The 20766-nt window shown below is 31.0% G+C and overlaps 1 protein-coding gene across 10 annotated transcripts in view; it reads right to left on the reverse strand.

Moving 5' to 3' along the window:
* The window catches only part of CSMD3 (CUB and Sushi multiple domains 3), a 1214012-nt gene that overhangs the window by 67670 nt on the left and 1125576 nt on the right, over positions 1-20766 (reverse strand). For 9 of the 10 annotated variants that reach the window (NM_001363185.1, XM_017013010.2, XM_011516816.3 and 6 more), the window contains 7 exons: positions 20381-20569; positions 15410-15595; positions 14124-14318; positions 11196-11369; positions 5236-5409; positions 1940-2113; positions 913-1098 (listed from right to left, as the gene is read on the reverse strand). In NM_001363185.1, the coding sequence (NP_001350114.1) occupies positions 913-1098; positions 1940-2113; positions 5236-5409; positions 11196-11369; positions 14124-14318; positions 15410-15595; positions 20381-20569 (1278 nt within the window). The remainder of the gene's footprint in view (positions 1-912; positions 1099-1939; positions 2114-5235; positions 5410-11195; positions 11370-14123; positions 14319-15409; positions 15596-20380; positions 20570-20766) is intronic. The other variant, NM_052900.3, reaches the window with a different exon arrangement.

Here is a 20766-nt window from a genome sequence, read left to right on the forward strand (position 1 = left end):
GTTGTCACAAAATGTTCATAAAAGTACACCTCATGAACATAAAAAAATCCTCTAAATGAAGCATAATCATAAAATAATTTTATTTAGCAATTTAATAAAACCAAAAATTATTTGCCAAAAATGAACGATTTCTTCACACGCTATTCATTCAGTCTATGAAATTGTTCTTCTCTTCCCTGTCAAGTCCAAGACTCACCAACTGTTTGAGATCTAGTTCAATTTGAGGCCTATCAATTGACTGAATTGCTAGAATTTATGTTCACTCCTCTATGCCTTCACAGAAGTTTGATTTATAACTGCTAAATTATTTTTCTCACTACGTGTGTTACTTTAAGCATCTTGGCTGTAATCTATTTTATGTACATTCTACAACTCCTATCATAACATATAACAAAATGCACTTATTAGATATTCACTGACTAGAAAGATGATGTATATTAACATTTATTGCATTAACAAGTATATGTGTCTCTATATGACAAATATTTAAGGTCAATAAGTTTTAAGTCACACCTTTGTGTAAATCTTCATGTATTCTGAATCCATGATGGATGTTTAAGACTAATTTTGCCTTAAATGAAATATTAAATATTAGTACAGAATAAAAGTGTAGTTGCCTCTTACAGACGATAATATTGTAAAGTAGGAAATATGACTACTTTTCATATTTTATATGCTCCAAAGTGCAAAATCAAAGAATGATAGATAAATATTTATCACATTAATTTTAAGAAAATTACATTTGGACATTGAATTTGCAAAATATAGAAAAGTATAATTTCAAAACAGTAAAACAATAAAATCAATATGCTTCTCTGTGATATATATCTTTAGGTCATTTTATAAAGATGATAAACATTCCTATGGTTTCCATGACATGTTCTCAAGAAACAATTCACATTATCTACTTACTGATACATTCTGGTAAAGGTTTGTCCCATTGTCCATTTGGTTGACATATCAAAACTGAAGATCCAAATAAAAAATATCCAGGATTGCAGTCATAGAATACCACAGTGCCGTAAGTAAAATTTCCATGTTCTATTTTACTTTCTCTTTTAGAATTGGCTGGAATTCCAGGATCAGAACAGTTGACCACTAAACAAATGACAAATTTTGAAACATATGTTTGGAATAATATACATATACCTATATAGATTTATATTAGAAATGTACATACTTAGTTTCAAAAGTAAATTTATTCAAACAACCAGATTCCAATAATAAAATTAATCCCATGGATTATCTAGAAAATGGACTGACATCTATGTGGTAGAAAATACAGAAGAAAGAAAAAAATTTGGCAACAATTAGGAAAATAGCAACTTTGTAAGTATTGCGCTAAGTACGAATTTTAAAAATGACATATTTTAAGCTATAGCTGAACTGTAAGAAAACAACATGCAGGAGAATGATAATTAGGTTGTATTTTGTCATACAATATGAAATATACTTCTTTGCAAACTGGAAAAACATCGAAGAGTTCTCCTTAATCTGTTTCTATAGATTAAAAAAATGAATAAAGCCTCAATACAGGTGTACTGGCAAGCCAGGCCCACATATAGTTTTCAGAAAAATAAAAAGAAAATAAATGCCAAAGCAAATTGCAAGTAAAAATAATCTCAATTACTTTTTATATGCAGTCACAAAACAGATACAAATAAGAGAGTTAGAAATTAACTCTACCACTTTTAACTTTTAAAAATATAAGTTACAAAAGAAAGTTAGAAATTAACTCTACCACTTTTAACTTTTAAAAATATGTTACAAATTTAGAAAAAGGAAAGCATTGTTAATGAGATGACATCAGTATTAAAGCTTTTTGTTTTATTAGATAAAAACTTTTTACTATTCTGCTCAAGCTGTTTTAAGTGTGTCACTGATGTTTATGTGAATATTATTATCATGCCACCAAATGGGAATATACTTAGACATTTACCTTTGCACATAGGTGGAGGATGGCTCCACTGTCTGTTGGCCTGGCACTGTGCCTTTGTTGGCCCTTGCATAAGATACCCAATATTGCATGAGAATGTTACCACATCATTAAAGTTGAACCCATTTCCACTTGTTCTTCCATAAATTGGACTACCAGGGTGACCACAGCTAACAGCTAATAAGATGTGGCAGGAGGACAGGGAAGGAAACACAGAAAAAAAATATTTAGTTATCAGTTATTGCATTATTGATTATACTTAATCATTTCAAACAAAGTAGAAAGAAGACTACTTTTTATCTGGAAATATACGGAAAGTACATTTACTAATGTAGATGAACAAAGTAGAATGTCAAAATAGTCTAACAGCATGATTATATTAGTAAATAGAAAATTATTTAAAATTGTGATAATTTTATGCAAGTGGTACATAGATATTTAAAGTTTCACGGTACCTATTTCATCCTTTCTCTCTACTTTATTGGGGAGGCAAAGAGCAGAGTATTGAAATGCAAAGAAATCTGGGGAATAATTAAAGTTCATGTCCATACCTAATAGCAGAAAAGAACAAAACTAGCCAGGTGTGGTGACTCATGCCTATAATCTCAGTGCTTTGGGAGGCCGGGGTGGGAGGATTGCTTGAGGAGAAGAGTTAAGGCTGTAGTGAGCATGATCATAGCTATGCATATATATCATAGTGAGCTATGATCTTGCCACTGCACTCCAGACTAGATGACAGAATGAGATCTTGTGCTTTAAAAAACAAAGTTAAAAAGTAGAAAAGAACAAAACTGCACCAGTTTTCCTTGTCTAGTTAATAATTGAGGATATTTAAAGGCAGTTTTTTGCATTTAATTTTGAAATAGTGCTTTCAATATTATTTGAACAACCAATTTTTATGAATAATAGATTGATAAGCAAATGTGTGCTTGTGAAGTAAATTAATGTGACTACATAATGTAGAAAATAGAAAATGATACACAAAGGCTGCATTAGGATATTCATTAATATTTTGAGATAGTCTCAAAATATTCTCTAAATCAATCTTACTGGTTTCTTCATCACTGATATTTGATAATATAATTTTTCTTGGAAATAATATTCTTAATTAGGTTCTTTTAATGCTGTGTCCCACTATAAATTTTACATAGTGCTGGCTTTCCCCAAACACTATTTCTATGAACTGTTTTATTGCATTATCTCACTCTATTAATCAGAGCAACTTCAGTAATAGTGCTTCCTAATTGGGCACAGGAAACGACCACAGTCACTTTCAGTACTTAGGAAATGACCCAAGAGCAATTATTTTTCAGCTGTATTGTTAATGTCAACCTACCCATTTGGGAATTTAACTGCATCTTATTCTGGTTTAAAATTATCAATAAAGAAACCAGTTTTACCCTAAGGGCCAATTCTCATTTATAGTCTCAATTATTCAACAAGAAAAACAGTGGTATTAATTGGCTATGCTTGAATATAAATGAAAAAGAACATATCCAGGGCAGACACAAGCAGGATATTGTTGTCTTTAAATCATCAGACAATCAATTTGCTTGGGGGGGGTGTAGGGGTGGAAAGTGATTTTCATTGTCAGCTAGATATTCTATTATCCTATTATCATAACCATGAAACTAGATGTTCTATTATCCTATTATCATTACCATGAAACTAGAATTTCTATACGTTTCTGTGGATTGGATCAAAACAGTATTATGACCGAATTTATAAGTATACATGCAATTGGTCACAGATTAAATGAAATATTTCCTGTGAACGCATACTAAAAGTCCCATGTATTGTTTATCTGACACTTCCAAAATCTTTATCCTATGATCCTATTATAATTACAACATATTTACAGTACTTATTTACTAATAATAATTTTAATATAAATGTCCGTTATCTGGAGATGGATATTATTAGGTGAAAAATATAAGAAAAATGTAGTTGACTTTAAGATCCAAAGTAGGATAGATTGTGATCTGAAACACTAAATACTTACGGGGATTCTGAGATGTACTAGAGTTTATCATTATTCAGCTCTATTTTTATTTTCATAATATAGCAGTCATAATAAGTGCACAATGGCCAAATCCACAACATACATATAGGAAGAGATCCATTAAAACCACAAAGCACAGCAGGTATATTTAAGAAATAATGAAAAGATATTTCAAAATACACTTTATTCTTCATCTGTGAATTCATATCTAATCAACCTAAAAGATCACATGGATATATGTCGAACTGGTGAGATCTTTTTAAAATATTTCTAAAATTACATATATTCATATGTTTTGTATGAATTTTAAAATAGTGTAAACAGTGCTTTAAAATAAACTTTTATTTATTTTCTTTTTATCTGCTTTTTAAAAAATTATTTCAATAGTTTTTGAGGAACGGGTGGTGTTTAGTTGCATGGATAAGTTCTTTAGTGGTGATTTCTGAGATTTTGGTGTACCCATCACCTGAGGAGTATACACTGTACCCAATGTGTAATCTCTCATCTATCACTCCTCTGCTACTCTTTCTCCCTAGTCCCCAGAGTTCATGATATCATTCATATGCCTTCGCAACCTCATAAATAATTTTTAATTTTTTTCAGACAAAATATAGCTACGTTACATATGTGTAATCTTGATATATTTAAAAATGCAATGCATTTTGAGGTTAAAAGATGACATAATGATAAACATCTTCAACCACACACTCTCTATATAAGGGAATTACGGCCCAGAGAGATTAAACACTGCATTAGCTCACATAATCATCAGAGGACCTGAAATGAGAGCAAAGGTTCTTCATGTCATGCCTAATGATAATATATTCCCCACTGTGCTTCATCAGTATATAATCTTGATGTCATGACAGTAGTATCATAATTGTTAGATAATATTTATCCAAAATATTTTCCACTATAAAAAGCTCTGTAATATCACATAGTAACAAACCTTGATACAGCTACACAGTGGTCTCTAGAAATTTAAACCCTTATAATTACAAATGTGTTGATAATGTGTCTTCCATATAAGAATATTAATTTATCAATATTATATATTTATATTAAATATGAGAAGAGCTAAATTTAATTTATTATCTTCATGATAAAATATAACTGAAATTCTCTTGAACATATTCCACTTTAAAGACTTTTGCATAGCAGTATCAAATTGGATTGTGGAAATTTACTTTATATTGATATATATAACAACATAATATATATATTCATCTTGCCTAACAAAAACTAGAATTATTCCAAAGATCAGAGGTCTCTAATTGCTTTTGCCATGCTTACTTACGCACACAGGATGGGAGCTGACCAGACCAATTGTGATCCTGTTGACATATCCTCACTGAAGAACCAATCAATCGAAAACCAGGATTACATTGATATACAACTGTGTCTCTATATCCATAATTTTCTCCAATGACTTGACCATTCACAATCAGTTCTGGAATTCCACAATGACCCGCTGAAATACGTTATAAAGTAATATTTTTAATACTGTGATTTGTTTTATTTGTATATTTATATACATGTGGAACATGAGCAAACCTTTAAAGTTGTCTTAAAAGCAAGCAACAAATAATTCAATTATAACTATATGACATAAAGGTAACTATGAAATATTTAGCAAAACAACAAATATATGGAAATTAAAAGAAGACACGTGTCTAGTGACACTTGGGTCTTGAAGAAATTATAAAATATCTCAATGTGTAAAAATGAAAATATAGGCTGGGCACGGTGGTTCACGCCTGTAATCCCAGCACTTTGGGAGGCCGAGGTGGCAGATCACGAGGTCAGGAGATTGAGACCATCCTGGCTAACACGATGAAACCCCGTCTCTACTAAAAATACAAAAAATTAGCCAGGCATGGTGGCAGGCGCCTGTAGTCCCAGCTTCTCGGGAGGCTGAGGCAGGTTAATGGCGTGAACCGGAAGGTGGAGCTTGCAGTGAGCGCAGATCGCGCCACCGCACTCCAGCCTGGGCAACAGAGCAAGACTCCACCTCAAAAAAAAAATAAATAAATAAATAAAAGAAAGAAAATATATCAAAATTTAGAGGTACAGATAAAGCATTACTTATTAAAGAAATTAATAAGTTTCAGTGCTTTTAGTAGAAGAAATAGAGATATAAAAGCAATGACCTAAAACTCCATGTTAAGAAGAAGCAAGGAGCAAAATGATGTAAAAATAAAGCCAAAGTAAGTAGACAGAAGGAAATATTTAAGATTACGAATAATAGAGAACATTAAGTTAAAAATTCTTTCTCTAAAAATAGCAACAAAATTATTAAACTCTTAGCTAACCCTATTAACACCAAAAAGGAGAGAATAAAATTGTCAATAACAGGAATGAAGTGATATCACTATAAAGCCTTAAGAAATTAAAAGAATAAGGGAATGCTAAAAACAGCTTTATGCCAATACATTTTAACACTTCAGAAGAAAAGAAAAAAAATTCTGTGAAAATTATAACTCGCCCCAAAACTAACACAAGGTAAAAATATAAAAATATTAATAGTTTTTATCTATTAAAATATGTGAATTCTTAAACAAAAACCTTCCCACGGATTTTTTTTTTTGGCTGGGAAATTCAAGCTTTTAATGGGGAAAATAATTCTTATGCAAACTCTTTTAGAAAATAGAAAAGAAAAAATCACCTTTGAAATTATTTTATGAAGTAATCATTAACCCCAATAGTAAAGCCTCAAAAAAAAAAAAAAAAATTAAAAAGTACCAAAGTCCTTAAATGATTATAAAGGACCAAAGTACTTCATAAACAGAGATACAAACCTCCTTAATAAAATTTTAGAAAATCAGTCTAGTGACATATAAATGATAATACATCATGATTATCTGGGATTTATCCAGAAATGAAGTTTGGCTAAATATGAAAAATTACTGTAATTTTGACATAATAAAAGAGAAAAAATTCTATGTAATTATTTCAATCTATGCAGAAAAAGTATGTAGCAAAATGCAGTGCCTATTCACGATTAAAAACTGACAACAAATTAGGAATATAGGGAACATTCTCAACCCAACAAAGACATTGTTAAAAAAACCTCCAGTGCAATACATTAATACAAAGAAGAAAAACAGCACAATGTTGGGAAACAAAATAGTGAAACTGTTCTATACTCAGGTAATACGTACGTAGAAAATTATATTTTTAAAACATCTTAAACTAGTAAGTGAATTTAGAAAGGTTGTAGAATATTAGGTAAATATTTTGAATAATTGTATTTTATATACTGACAGCAAACAATTGGAGAATGTAATTTAGATAAACAACTTTAGTTGGGCACAGTGGCTTATGCCTATAATTCCAGCACTTTGGGAAGCTAAAGCAGGAGGATCTTTTGAGGCCACAATTTCAAGACCAGCCTGGGCAACATAGCAAGACCCTATCTAAAAAATAAAAAAAGAACAATTTTACTTTTTACTTACAATAGTAAAACATTCTGGGGAATAAATTTAGCAATAGCACATTCTATGCTAAAAATACAAAATGTTGCCATTGCACAAAAAAAAAAAAAAAAAAAAAAAATAAGTAAAGACCCAAACAAATGTACTCTGTTCATGGATCACAAGACTCAATGTTTTTAGAAGCCAATTTTCCCCAAACTGATGAAAGGATTCAATCCCACCAGAATCTCTTTGTAGAGTTTCATAAACTAATATAAGATTTATATGAAACCGCAAAGTGTTATGGTATCCAAAGTGATTTTGAAAATTATGAACAAATTTAGAGGATTTACATACATGATTTCAATAATTATTATGAAGTTTTTTCAATAAATAGTGCAAGATACAAAGTGCAAGTAAAAAAGCTCCTCAATGCTACTATGTAACACATAGGAATTAAAAATAACATTGGAGATATAAAAGTTAAAGCTAAAACTATAAAGCTTCTAGTAGAAAGTAAAACAAACAAAAATGATAGACTTTACCAAACTTGAAAATTCCTCGTTGTCAAAAGATGTTATTAAAAAATGAGTAGGCAAGTCATAGAATAAGAGAAAATACTTATAAAACACATAATGATGAAGGCCTTGTAACAAGAATATGTAAAGAACTCCTACAATTCATAACAAAAAGGCAAGTCAATATACTTTACCACTTCACAAAGGAAAATTTACAAATAGCCAATAAGCCTATGAAAAACTGTGCTTAACATTAGTATTCATTAAGACAAAAAATATTAAAATATCATAGGATACCTTTATGCATCCAACAGAATGGAGAGAAAAAGAAAGTTGGCTATACCACATGCTGGAGAGAATGGGAGACAACTAGAACTCTCCCACATGTATTCTGTTGTGAGTATTCAAGAGAAATGAATGCGTATGTCCACAAAAAGACTTTTACATGAGCATGCATAGCAGCTTTATTCATAATAGCCTAAAACTGGACATAGCCCATGTATCCATCAAAAAGAGAATGGCTGAAATGTGGCATATTTGTACAATAGAATCCTATTGAGCAATAAAAGGAACAAATTACAGATATGCACAACAGCATAGATAAAAGAGAATAAAAGAAGCCTTATACAAAAGAGTGCACAATTTTCAATTCCATTTAATGAATTTCTAGAACAGGGGAAATGAATATATGGTGAAAATATCGAAATAGTTACTGCCTCAGGTTATGGAGGAGGAGAGTTGCACAGTGACCGTGAAGGGGCATAAGAAAACTTTCTGAGGTAATGGCAATATTCTATGTCTTTATAGTGGTTTAGTTACACTGATGTATACATTTGTCAAAACTGATCTAACTGAACTTATGATCTATGTACTTCACTACATACAAATTTTGCCGAGTTTAAAAAAAACTTTGAACAAATACTGAACTCTAGCTAATGGTATGCATGCTTAATATTTGGCAACAAAGTATACTGATGTTTACAACTTATTTCAAAATGCATCAAAAAAATAAATTAATGGATTGATGGAGGCCTGGAAACATGGATAGATATGTGATAAGCAAATATGAAAAAAATGCTAATTGTAGAATTAGGTGGTAGGCATATGGGTGTTCACTGTCAATTCCTTTAATTGAAAAATTCATAATAAAATACTAGGAAGGCAGGAATAAATGCACCATACTTAGAGAAACAATTATAAGCACATTCTCATGGCCGTTCTAAGCTAAAAGTGTCTGAGGTTACACAAACTAGTTGAGAAGAATGAAACCTTAAGGTCAATTCACAGTGTAATATTCTGGGATTTGCTTGTTTGGTAACTGTACTTTCCTCCTACCAACATCCTTTTGCATTTCATTGTATATAAACACTGTATTCTCTACAATGGATGATCTTGTCTCCTTAGACTAAGAGGCAATATTTTCTTATAAATATTCCTGTTATGCCCTGTCTTTCCAGAGAACAGAATCAAGATTCTAAGTAGGTGAATAAAACCACATACTATATACAATATTAAATAATATATAATACACAATAACAATTCATGAGAGCACATGGCCATAAAATATAGTATTTTCAAATTTATATGTATATTTAAAATGCTTTTAAAATTTAGTTTTATTTTAACTATATTTTAAATATGGTTCATTTTAAATATAATATTTTAATATATATTTAAATATTTTAAATATTGTATTTAAATTATATATCATTTAAATATAGTATTTTAAATATATATTTATTTATAAATGTATACATATTTAAAGATACATGTAATATATAATTTAAATACTTGAGTATGTATAAATATATATTTCTATATAATTATATATAAATTTAAAAATTTATATGTAAACTAAGTTTACTTAAAAATGCATAAGTAAACTAAGTAATCTGTAATTGAAATTAGTACAACCAAAATCAGTTTACAAACTATTAAGATTTTTTATTTTTTTGAGTTTTTATTTGATTATATAATCACATATTAATACATAATCATTTAACTCATTAACTATTTTCTGTTTTCTTCAATAATCATTGAAGTGGCCTCATCCATATGCCCAACCTTATCCAATGGGAGACATCATGACTCCTATCCTCACCACTCTGCTCTGTCTAGGTGAGACTTAAAGAGGAAGAGGAAAGACACTAGTCTGAGAGGAACTCCATCCCTAGCCAGAGCCTGGTCCATTAATGACCCCAGAGACTCAGGAGTTCCCTGTGTATATTCAAATATGTGTGCTCTTATAAAGAAATTGTTGCTGGGCTTCCAAGCATAACTATTAACAAATGTGCCTGAGAAGGAGAAAAAAGACATTTTAACCAAAACTTCTAACTATACCATTTGAAATTTCAAATAATGATTGTATTTCTATGAATATTTTCAAGCTTATTAGCCACACAATATATAAGTATAAACTTTTCTGCCATGTGTCATATTCTTAAACAGTAATATTTTAAAGACAAAAACACTGTACAAATTTTGCCGTACTCTATTCATGATAATCAGCAATTTTTAAATTCGTAAACAAAAAGATCTTGCCTTACTTCCAACAGATAAGTGAATAATCATTAGAAAAATTTTCATTATTACCTAACTCAATACTTGCTGTCAGATCTTGAAATCATTTTAGAGAAAACAAAGCATAAATAGCATAAATCATACTATTTTCTTAATATTAAATAAATTATTGAAATCTTTGAAAAAGGAGATAAAGCATAAAATATAATATTTTCATAATAAAAGAGGCAGGGTAAGAAGAACGAACTAGTTCAGTTTCTTTAACTGAAGATTTTTTATAATAAATACTCTAAGGGGAAAACATCCTAATTGCCTAAAATCAGGTTCAAAAAATTTTTTTTTAATTTTAATAGAAATTAGTTTTATGCATGTTGAAATCTTATGAAATAAAACGGAAGAAAGGTACTTAAATACACACATTACATTGTTTATCTTCTTCAGTCATTACCTTAAGCAAATAGGTGAAAAGAGAATTGACTATGGTTTAGAATGACTTAATAGCTACAGCGATTAATCCAGCTGAGTAAGCAGGCATACAGTTTTCAGCAATTAGTTTTCACCATTATATTTTCACCATGCCTGGAAGAAAATGTGTCTCTCCTTAGATTTCACTAGGAATGCTATTTGATTATTCCGTTTAGTAGCTTTTCTATCATGAGCCATTTTTAAAGATAAGTATTTTCTGGTTTTTAACATACTTACTGAATGAATATAAATTAGTATCTCATATTAGGGAAAAAGAGATGCCTCTTTTCAAGGGTGAGGGGCAGGGGGAAGTTTGACAAAAACAAATTAAAAATCTGTACCTAGGCATCTGGTTTCAGATTCACTCCAAAGACCTGAGGAAAGGCATTCCCTTACAGCAGAGCCCACAAGCATGAATCCCAAGTCGCAGGTAAAGATAGCTGTTGAGCCATATGAAGTTTGAGTTCCAATCTTATTTCCATTTGGAGGTGTAGGTAGTTCTCCACAGGAAATAACTTTAAAATGATAAATAAATAAAAATCCTTAAAGATATAGTCAAGCTGCACTTGTAACAAAACTGTGCTTTGAACATTTTGAGCTTCCTATGATTTGATGTATTTACAAAGGAAATTGGCATTTGTAAAACATGTTTGAATGAGTGTGAAAGTAGGGAGAAAAGAGATGACATAACGTAAAATGTACCCTCTTTAAGTCCCCATAGAACCTTCTAAGTAACAGAGACATAAAGTTCTTTTTTTTTCATTTTTTTTTTTTTTGCATTTTTCGCTTAGTCAACCTGGCTATAGTGGATGAAAAACATCACAAGTTTAAAGAGATGATAATTCATTAATCCAAAATCTTTCTCTGCTTTATCAAGTAACTTTGGGCAAGCCCTTTGACTTACCTGAGCCAAAGTTTCTTCATATCTAAACCAACATTAAAATAATAATTACAATATAATTTTTGTCAAGAACTCTATCGTTTGAGTTTTACATGTAAAATATTTGATTTTCATGAGATCCATTAGATATAATTCATCTGTTTTTTCTAAGTTTTAAAAAATTGAAGAAAATAAATTTAACTGGCTTGCTGGGTCATATAGCATCTCTTATGACTTCTTCATATTTGAAGACCACAAATGAACTGTCATTCTAGCATAAAAACAATAACAGATCATGTTCATTGGGCTTGTATTATGTACTAGGTGCTATAGTGTTTTCATTTATGTAATGCTCAAAACAACTCTCTAGGTTTTCAGTCTTAAGTTTTAGATAGCTGTCAGGTAGAGAAATAGAAAACTTTCAAACTTGCAAGAGTTGCATATCAAATTTAAAATGTACTGATGATTTTGAGCTCATCCCCCCAAAAAAAATCATTTGAGGTCGCTATTAATATTATTGATATACTAATATTATTATTAATTCTAATATTTATATTATTTTCATTTAAAAGATGATTAAATGGAGGACCAGAAAAAAAATACTATTTTTTTCTTTTTCTCAATTAATTGCAATTCCTAAATTCCTTGCCATTCCCTCATTCTTACCTGTAGGCAGTAACCCAACCTTATTCATCCTTTAAACAATTCTACATAGTAAAGAATCTAACACAATGGAATCAAACATTTGTTGAAAACCTGATTAAATGAGTGTTTCTGTTGTAGATAATAATTACCTAGCTCTTTGAAATATTCCTATCCATGTGCCCTTTAAAAACAAATTATTCTTTTTAAACAATAATTTGGAAAAAACAAGGAGTCTGCAGTCAGAGAAAAATCCTGGGAAAAAAACTTGGAGGACTAGTACAAAAATTTAGAAATACAGGCTGTGCGCAGTGGCTCATGCCTATAATCTCACCACTTTGGGAGGTTGAGGAGGGCAGATCACTTAAGGTCAGGAGTTCCAGACCAGCCTGGCCAACATGGTGAAACCCCAACTCTACCTAAAATACAGAAAAAAATTAGCCAGGCGTGGTGGCAGGCACCTGCAATCACAGCTACTGCAGAGACTGACAGAATTGTTTGAACCTGGGAGGCAGAGGTTGCAGTGAGCTGAGATCGCGCCACTGCACTCCAGCCTGGCAGACAGAGCAAGACTCTTTCTCAAAAAACAAACAAACAAACAAACAAAAACAACAAAAAAAAATACAGATGATGGCACATTTTTACAATATTAAATATAATTTAGAAATATATTTTTAATACTTTAATTCATTAATGTGATTATCTTGGAACACAGGGCAACCGAAAAATTCTATACTGATATAGAGATTCAAAAAATAAATTTCAAATCAGTGAATATTCATAAATAAAATAATATCAGATACTTGTGTACTTATTACACATAAGATAGTTGTCTGCTACGTTAAACTTCTTAATCATAATAACCCTAGGTAGACCTTTGATCTCTTTATTAGTTTGTCTATAAATCATGGGTCTCTATGCAATATATACCATAGAGTTGTGTTGGACGCTAATTAAAAGACTGAATTTTCGCCTAGCATATTTCCTGAAACAAAACAGACAATAAATGAATGTAAGAAAGGGAGTTCAAGATATTTCACCTGAATATCCTATGTTCTGTTAGCTTATGTATATTAGATACTGGCCATTTATATTATAAAAATGTATGGAAATAAAACGCCTTAACTGCTCAATTTGGTTCAATAATATTTATTGAGGATGTGGTTATAGCTGGTATTTCAATTGTGTCATACCATTAAATGTTTGCAGTAACTCTACATGACAGGTGTTATAATTTTCTAGTTTTAAGATTTTCTAGTTTTAGAATTTGGAATCAGAGAGAATAAACATGATATAACATGATAAAAAGTCAAGGGTTTTAGTCAGGCTACTTGGTCAAATATCATTTCTCTATCATTTATAGGCTCTCTGACTTTAATAGAATGATTACATCTGGGGCAAAGGTTTTTTTTTTTTTTTAACCAAATGAGTATAAAACATATAAAGGACTAAAAGCAGTGTCTGTCAAGTAGTAAGTAATCATTACTTCATTGTTAAAGTAGGTAATAGATCAACAATTCAAACACTAGATTTCTTAATCCAAAGCCCATGTTTTTCTATTTGCTAGAAAAGCATTTACTAATACATAGAAACATAGTTAGAAAATTTAAAAACGTAACGAGAATAAATGACCATATTAGTAATGTCATCCAATTATTGATCTAATGTGTTTATGAAAGGAACTGATTCAAACAATTCGATAACCAAACATAGCTTATGAAATAAGTTTAGCAGAGTGTATACTTACTTTGGCAATATGGTCTTTCATTTCTCCAACTCCAAGTACCATTAGGAAGACATTCGATGGAGGCAGGACCTAGTCCATGATAACCAGGGTCACAGCTGAAAACTACTTTGGTTTTGTATTCATAATGGGAGCCATTCACAATTCGCCATCTTCCATGTTCCAAGATAAAGGAATTGATGCTTGGACATGTAACAACTATACAAAAACCAAAGGGTGTAATTGCTAACAAATCACTATATCTCAACGTCTATTCCATTCTTTACATCTCCACTGACCTAATTCACTTACTCTTGCACTATACAAGGTCCTTTAGCATTTGTTCTTTATTTCTTTTGCATGTTGATATTTTCCATTCCCCTAGCTATATGGTATTGCTGGCAGTCTGGAACACACTCAATGGTTTCACAATTCAATCTTGTACTTATTATTCTACCTACTTAGAATCCCAGTTGTTGGCTTACCTCTACTCCCTTATTTCTTTATAAGTTTAGAAAAGACTATATTTTGAGGAAATTTTTTTGATGTGAATGGCCTTTTTGTGCAGGAGTAGTGATATCAACTTTAGCTAATTCAAAACTTTTTCAAGGTAAGTAGAAGCCTTATTAGAAACCTATGCTGAGAGTGCGAACAACTTAACAATCTTCATTTTAAATGAAATCACAACTAAGTGGAAATGCTAGTACTAAATGGGAAAAAATAATCGAAATATAGAGAAAATTCAAGAGTTTATTCACATCAATATTTTCTATTTTTTGCTACCAAATCTTTACCAGAATTAATGTCTTATCATTATGTAAACTTATTTACCTAGTGAAGTAATAGTGACAGCAATAGGAACTCTTCTAAGTGTAAGTAAACAGAAGAATATCAACAAAAGTTTAAAGTTATGGATAATTTTTGCAACATTATTTATCCTTATAAAATCAGAGTGAAATATGTCAAAATATAATTTTATTAACACAGTCTTTAAAAATTTTCTCAAGGGGCCATGTACTGAAAACACATGTTGACTAAAGGATGACTTTTTACAAAATAAAACATCATTGTATAAAATAAAAGTGCCTTTTTTGACATAAATATTCTGAGGTTTTCAAAAATGATGGAAAAGACCTTGTACTGTCTTCTAGTACTTCATTGTACAAGATAGCTTACTTAACTTTTATTTCTGACTTAGACATCACATTTCAGTTTAGGGATTGGTTTTTATAATTCTAAAATACATAAAATTTCAGGTATATAAAATACCAAGAGAAAAACAAGTGATGAAATTCCCTTGACACACATACCAACACAGCGAGGGGTCTTGTTATGATTGCTCCATGTTCCATCTGATTGGCATACAGCTGTAGTGAGTTCTTTGGATGACAATCGATATCCATCATTACAAAAATAGGTAACTCGCGTTCCTACCAAATAGTCTGTTGTTAGTATTCCTCCATTTGTTGGAGCTTTAGGAATCCCACAGGAAATTGCTAGAAAAACATACACACAAGCAAAATCGTATAAACAGAAAAATGTTTAATTTATTAGGTAACTCTGCTGAACTGTAAAACATGCAAAACTAACGGGGATTTTTATCAATTCCTCTGAAACAATCTCAGAATCACAGAAATACTTTCCGAACCATAAATTTTGAATAATTTATTCCAAACCCTTATTTAGCAATGTTTATAAATTGATGAATCTATACATTGTTAATGCTTTATTTCTTGGTTTCTTACTTAATTTCTGGTGATCATGTGCATGGTTATCAGCATTTGTATGGATTATATGAGAATGCAAGTTAGGTAAAGAGTATCTCTAATGCAAGCCCATGACTGGACCATCATATAGCAAGTTTGATTAATTCAATTTGACAGATAAATATTAAATATTTTAAAGAGAGTGGCAACCAATATGAATCATAATTTTGGTCAGGAATAAATCAAATAGATTTATTTTACCTGAAAGCTGGCTATTTCTGTCTTAGCAGAAGCCACAATGTATGAGCTGGGGCACCATCCACAAAGTATTGTGTATATTGGATATGTTTAATAAATACAAGGCCAGGACTTACTGTCTTAAAAACCTAGTTAGGATCTTCCTGAATTTCACTGATGTGTCTTAGATGTCTTGATTTTTATCTACAATACATTTGATTTAGGTGAAAATTAGTTTTACTATGATGTGATAATAATGTAAAATGTTATATTTGCCTAGTTTGTTGTATATATTTTATACTTTACAATTTTAAAAGGCTACAGAAAAATCCCCTAAAATTGATTTTTTACCATTTTTGCCCTATTAAGTACACAATTGGCACTTAGAAACAGAAAAAAAAAAACACATAATCTTTCAAATAACATGTACATAATCTTTCAAAGTATATATTTGGTAGCAATACTCAATTAAAGTCAGGTTTTTTGTTTTTTGTTTTTTTTTGAGACAGGAGTCTCAATCTGCCGCCTGGCTGGAGTGCGGTGGCACTATCTGGGATCACTGCAACCTCTACCTTCTAGGCTCAAGTGATCCTCACACCTCAGCACCCTAGTAGCTGGGACTACAGGTGCGTACCACCATACTTGGCCAATTGTTTGTTTGAGACACAGTACTACTCTTTTTCCCAGGCTGGAGTCAGTGGCAGGATCTTGGCTCACTGCAGCCTCTACCTCCTGGGCTCAAGCAGTCCTCCTACCTTCAGCCTCCTGAGTATCTGGGACTACAGGCACGCATCACCAGGTCCGGCTAATATTTGTATTTTTTTGTAGACACGGGTTTTCGTCATGTTGGCCAGGCTGGTCTCAAACTCCTAGGCTCAAGCAGTCCAGTGGCCTCTACCTTCCAAAGTACTGGGATTACAGGCGTGAACCACTGCATCTGGCCCTATGTGTATCTTTATATATCACTCTCAGAGTAAATATTTATACATATCTCCACATAAGGACTAACGTATTTGAATATGAGTGTCATTCCAGAACCAACTGGAGTTATGTAATAACTGATAGATATATGTAGTGCATTATTGTTATAAAATGAGAAAGCTTCTGTATTATGAAAGATATCTAGCTTACACGTTTCATACAAAGAATTACAGATTTATATTTTCTCTCATAACAGAAGAAATAAACTACAGAAAGATGAGTTTAGTTTAAATATTATAAATGCTATGTACTATTCACCCATCTTCCATTTCGACCAAAAATTGTTTCCACTTCTCTTATAAAATCTACCATTTGCTGCTTAATTTTCATTAACCCACGTAAATTAAATATAAAATGAAAAACCTTAGTGAAATCTTTACAAAACTGTCAAAACTGAATGGCAGAATCCCTACTGCTGAATAATTGATCTTCTGTAATTTGGTAACCTGTAAATTATGAACAGAAAAGCTGTAACACTGACTTAAAATACATATGCAATCTCACATAATTATGTTATTATCCCTGCTTTCTAATTACAGAACCTCTAAAATAGTGTTGAAAAGTAAATGGTTCCCTGATGTCTGATAAAGCAATGTTTATATTTTCACTTAGAACTTTTGGGAATTTCAAGTTGTTATATGCCATCTCCCTCCCAAAGATCATGTATTTACTGATTTTTAAAAATTAACTATTCATTGTTGGTGTAGTATAGATTGAATCTAGGTCAAAGTAAAAAGAGATGTAGTTAAATAGTATAGATTCCACATATATGTTTAGTAAAATGTGGTTCTATTTTAGAACTAAAAAGAGACAACGTACCAGAATAATGGGACAATTCCTGTGCCTATGGATAGTTAACAATTTAACTTCTCCGCTAATTTTTTTAAAAAGAAGAAAAGAAAGAAAATAAATCCAGTTCAGAAGAAAAGTCATCATAATTGAGTGGTTGTAAAAGAGGCTTGTCTATACAACTCTCAGGAAATCACAAATTAAAAGTGAGACGGAATACAAAGTGAGTTTCCACGTAACACTACATAATATTTAATTATATTCATGAGGATTGTTCAATTTTTGAGGGGGGGATCAATAGTTATGTGATGAGAACAAAAATAAATAAAACACCTGACCAAACCCAAATAGATATAGCTGACTAATTTTCTATGTTTATCCTCATGTTGTGTAACTTTATAGCTCAAGTAAATGTATGTCAGGATGTATAAGAAGACCTAAGAGGTAAGAGAAAGAAAAATGACTGAAAAATGCAAAACAAGTTGAAATAAAAGGTGCATTATGCAAATAGCTCTTCCAAATGACATACAAACATTTCATTTCAATTAGTAATGTCCAAATAGAGGTCATATCCTGTAAGCATTTTTTCTTAATCTTTTTTAACAATTAGAAAAGATCAATTTTTGGAAATGGCTACATGATTTACATATATTTTATCATTTTACTTCACCAAATATCTCATTTTTAAACTATATTTCAACTTTCTTATTTGAATTTAAAACAATTTTAAATTAAGGACATTGAAAAAATGACTCCATATGTAAATTACATGGAATATATTCAATGAAATTGTAGCACTAATTCTACAAAGCAATTTCAAAATTTCAGAAAGCATGCGGTATTTTTATTTTACATGATAGTCAATTATTCTCACAAAATGTTTCTTAAGGATTATATATGTATACCATATAGGAGTGTGTATGTGTATGTGTGTATATAAATATAAATAAAAGCAATCATTATGTAACTAAAATACAAAAGTTTAAAATTAAAAACAATTAAAATTCAGAGCATGTTAATGGTTATTTAAAATATATATATTATAAGCTTATTTTATATCTTTTAATTCTATTATGAAATTTGACATCAAAGATTCTTTCCCAAATTAATTCTGGGAAATCAGTTAATACTAAGAACTGTAAATACTCCTGCTATTCATTGGTCGAAGGAAAGCAGCTGTTTTAATACTTTATTAAAATGTATCTATTCTGCATGAAGTAAATGCCTTCAGTGTTGATAACCCATTAAGGTAATGGTGCTTCCCAGAATCCTAATAAGTGATTAATGTTTCCTTGCATCAATACAACAAGAAACAATAATTCTTTCATTTTGCATTTGTTTACATATGCCTTTGAAAGCTATCCTTTTATGAATTATAAATTGCACTCTAATAGGTAAAAGAAGCCATTTCAAGTGCCTGGTAATACCTATTCTTTAGCTAATTTTAACTTATTATTGGTTGATTTTAAATTTTAATTACCTATCTTACATTTTGTTTTTTATAAATGCCCACCAAAAAATAGGTAATAAGTAAGACTTCTTGTTTATTAACCTAGAGTATCCTGCATTTTTTCATGTGAGAATTCAAAGTTGCTATCTGCATCTTTACATGCTGAGTAGAGTTAAACAAAATACAAAATTAATTTTCATCTTGATAAAATAATATAATGAATTAAGTATTTTAAAATTTTCAAAGTCCAATGACATTAGCTTTTCTGCGTAGCTGATGTTGAGCTTGTCTTTATGACTATGACTACACTTACGTAAGAGACTCAACTACTATTTAAAACAAGTCTTTTTGTTTTGTTTTGTTTTGTTTTGTTTTTTGAGATGGAGTTTCGTTATTGTTGCCCAAGCTGGAGTGCAGTGTTGCAATCTCAGCTCACTGCAACCTCCGCCTCCCGGGTTCAAGTCATTCTCCGGCCTCAGCCTCCCATAAAAACAAGTCTTAATCAAAAACTCTAAAACATGCAATTTTTTGATTAACAAGCTTGTTATTCTTTTTGCAGCATGATATAATGCTCAGTGCCTCGACTTTTGACAAAATACAAAGAAAAATAAAAAACATATCTTTGATATCTCTGTTGTGTTATCTGTACCACTGAAGAAAAAAAATATCCAGGTGGTGGGTTACATTTTTCTCTTAAATTTGTTGCTGTGAGTGCAAATTTTGGATGCTAAGAGTGAAACTCAGTCTTCAGTGTACTTGCCCATTCTTATTCTCTATTACCTCTCTGCAGACTTCATACTAACTCAGTCTTCCTCTCTTTCAATAATTGTCTTAAAACAAAGTAACTGGAATGGAGGATGTATGAATAAAGTATGTATACAAGGGGAAAAAGTCAAGGCATATAAGTTGCATAACAATAATGAATAATTATAAAACAGTATGTTTCTTTCCCCTGGAATTTATCATTCTGCAATGTTATGCCTTGTTTTTATGAAAAGAGTTCACAATATGCTTCCGAATATTTCCATTCTCAGAAAAGTTAGTGATCCAAATAAAAACGTTAAATGGTGCTAATCTCACATTCATGTTTTTGTTCATTTTGGCATAATATACTTCACCTTGACAGGCAGGGACTGGCGCATCCCATGCATGATACCCATAGGAAGACTTTCTGCACACAGCACTGCTTTTTCCAACAAGTCGGAATCCTCGATCACAGGCCCAACGGACCACACTGTTAAGCTGCCCACCTGTCTGACTGATAATATATCCATGAGGTGGGGATTCTGGTGTACTACAGTAGAAAGCTTTTCAAAAGAAAAAAAAAATGCTGTTTAATTAATGAATCAGAAGTTATTACCCAAAGTGATAAACACCTATACAGCGACTAGTGCTTAAAAGTAGGTCAGTGGTCATCTATGTAAATTTTACTTCATATGAACAACATATTGTGCTCTTTCCTCTTTTGAAAATGATCTACTGACACAACTTTTGGGAGACATAA

The sequence above is a fragment of the Homo sapiens genome, chromosome 8, assembly GCF_000001405.40.
Source record: "Homo sapiens chromosome 8, GRCh38.p14 Primary Assembly".
Classification (NCBI taxonomy): Eukaryota; Metazoa; Chordata; class Mammalia; order Primates; family Hominidae; genus Homo; species Homo sapiens.